Below are 1892 nucleotides of genomic sequence, written 5' to 3'. Positions count from 1 at the left end.
GGAATTCAGGTTCCTGCTTCTTTAGACTCTAAAATAGATAAATTGTATATATGCTGCTGGATGTTTATTTCACAATAAACATGAAGGTTAGGCTGGGTGCGGTGGCTCATGCCTGCAATCCCAGCACTTTGGGAGGCTGAGGCAGGAGGATCACTTAAAGTCAAGAGTTTGAGACCAGCCTGGCCAATAAGGTGAAACCCTGTCTCTACTAAAAATACAAAAATTAGCTGGGTGTTGTGGTGTGCGACTATGCTCCCAGCTACTCAGGAGGCTGAGGCACGAGAATCACTTGAACCCAGGAGTGGGAGGTTGCAGTGAGCCGAGATTGCACCACTGCACTCCAGACTGGGTGACAGAACAGGTTCTGTCTCAAAAAAAAAACAAGAAGGTTAAAAAATAAACATAAATATATAGTATGTCTTACTCTAATACACACATTCATATATCTGTGTGTATGTGGATACACTAAAACAAAAATTTCACAAAGAAATGTATCTTTATTACGAGAAGTACACTCATATTTTAATCCTATTCTATTTGTTCCCATTTTTAAATGCCAGTTGTAAACTACTAAGCTGATTTCAGAATCCACTAATGGATTACGACGTATAATTTAAGAACACTGCTTTAGACTAATGATAAATACCACTATTCCTCCTTGCTTAGCTCAGAAAGGCGATTTGAAATATTTGGTAAAGCCCAATGTAGCAAGGGCAGCCCTTATTCTCAGAAGGGATTCACCTCTTTTGATCCGACATTTGCATTTCAACAGCTGAGCTTTTCCCCTGGGAAGCTCGTCCAGTAAGTGGTTGCTGGTTATTGTATTGCAGATTCAGATGCTCTTATCATCTTTTTCAAACAGTTGAAGAAGAAGAAAAAAAAAAGACCCTATGCAACAGTTTAGGGGCTGTGTTTCTGGGGTGGAATAACAGCATTGCCAAGAGACAAAGTATATCATCAGGAAATAAGCAACAGAAACTATTTGCAGAGGCAGCAGGAGTAAGAACTATAGCAGGCACACCCAAAAGACAAGGAATGCTGAGATGAAAATGGAGCTGGGATAGCGCATCCCATGAAGAGAACTTTGTTCAGTGCTGTCCTGCTGTGGTTGGCAAAATATGTCCAAGGTATGGCTTGTGGATGGAAGAGCTGCTTGCTGGCCGGATAACAGGGTGGCAATAGAAATAATCAATAGACAACGGGGGAACAATAGACAATCCTTCAGTGCCTAGATTACTCAGAACATTCCTCTCCAGTGATTCAGCTTTAGCTTTTTTTTTTTTAAAGCAATGTCTTGCTCTGTTGCCCAGGCTGGAATGCAGTGGCATGATCTTGGTTCACGACAACCTCAACCTCCTGGGATCAAGAATCTTCCTGCCCCAACCTTCCAAGTAGTTGGGACTATAGGCATGTGCCACCATGCTTGGCTTATGGGCTTTTTTTTTTGTCAGTTATGGAGTCTCAATTTTTTGCCCAGGCTGGTCTTGAACTCTTGGCCTCAAGAGATTCTCCTGCCTCGGCCTCCCAAAGTGTTAGGATTACAGGCAAGAGCCACTGAGCCTGGCCTAGCATTGCTTTTAAGGTTGAGAATGATCCCAGTTAGAACAAGCCAGCCACAACAGAAAGACCAGGTACCTGCTTGGATGGTCTCATGCCTTTCAGGATCCCTGGAGTAAAAGCCTTGCTGCCTTCTGACTTTCCTGGACACTCCCAAGTTCAGAACTGAATATAAGTCCTATTCGATAGGACAATAGAAGCCAAGAGGCATTAACAGTTTTCTGGGGTGAAGGGGCAAGTTCGGCAAATGATGACTTCCAAACAGCCTCCAGAACCCAGCTAGGCCAGGATGGGAGCCTGTGGGGTGCTGTTTCCAGGTCCCCCTGCTCAACTAG

General features: G+C 43.7%; 1 annotated feature.

Moving 5' to 3' along the window:
- Positions 302–930: an enhancer, noted in NCBI's record as "OCT4-NANOG-H3K27ac hESC enhancer chr13:46448135-46448763 (GRCh37/hg19 assembly coordinates)". NCBI's record gives its function as "activates a minimal SCP1, AML or CMV promoter by ChIP-STARR-seq in naive H9 embryonic stem cells {active_cell/tissue: H9 hESC(naive)}" and the evidence as "EXISTENCE:reporter gene assay evidence [ECO:0000049][PMID:30033119]".

This window comes from Homo sapiens, chromosome 13, assembly GCF_000001405.40.
Source record: "Homo sapiens chromosome 13, GRCh38.p14 Primary Assembly".
NCBI lineage: Eukaryota > Metazoa > Chordata > Mammalia > Primates > Hominidae > Homo > Homo sapiens.
Note: the sequence above shows the minus strand (reverse complement) of the source record. Positions and strands in the feature narration are given on the sequence as shown.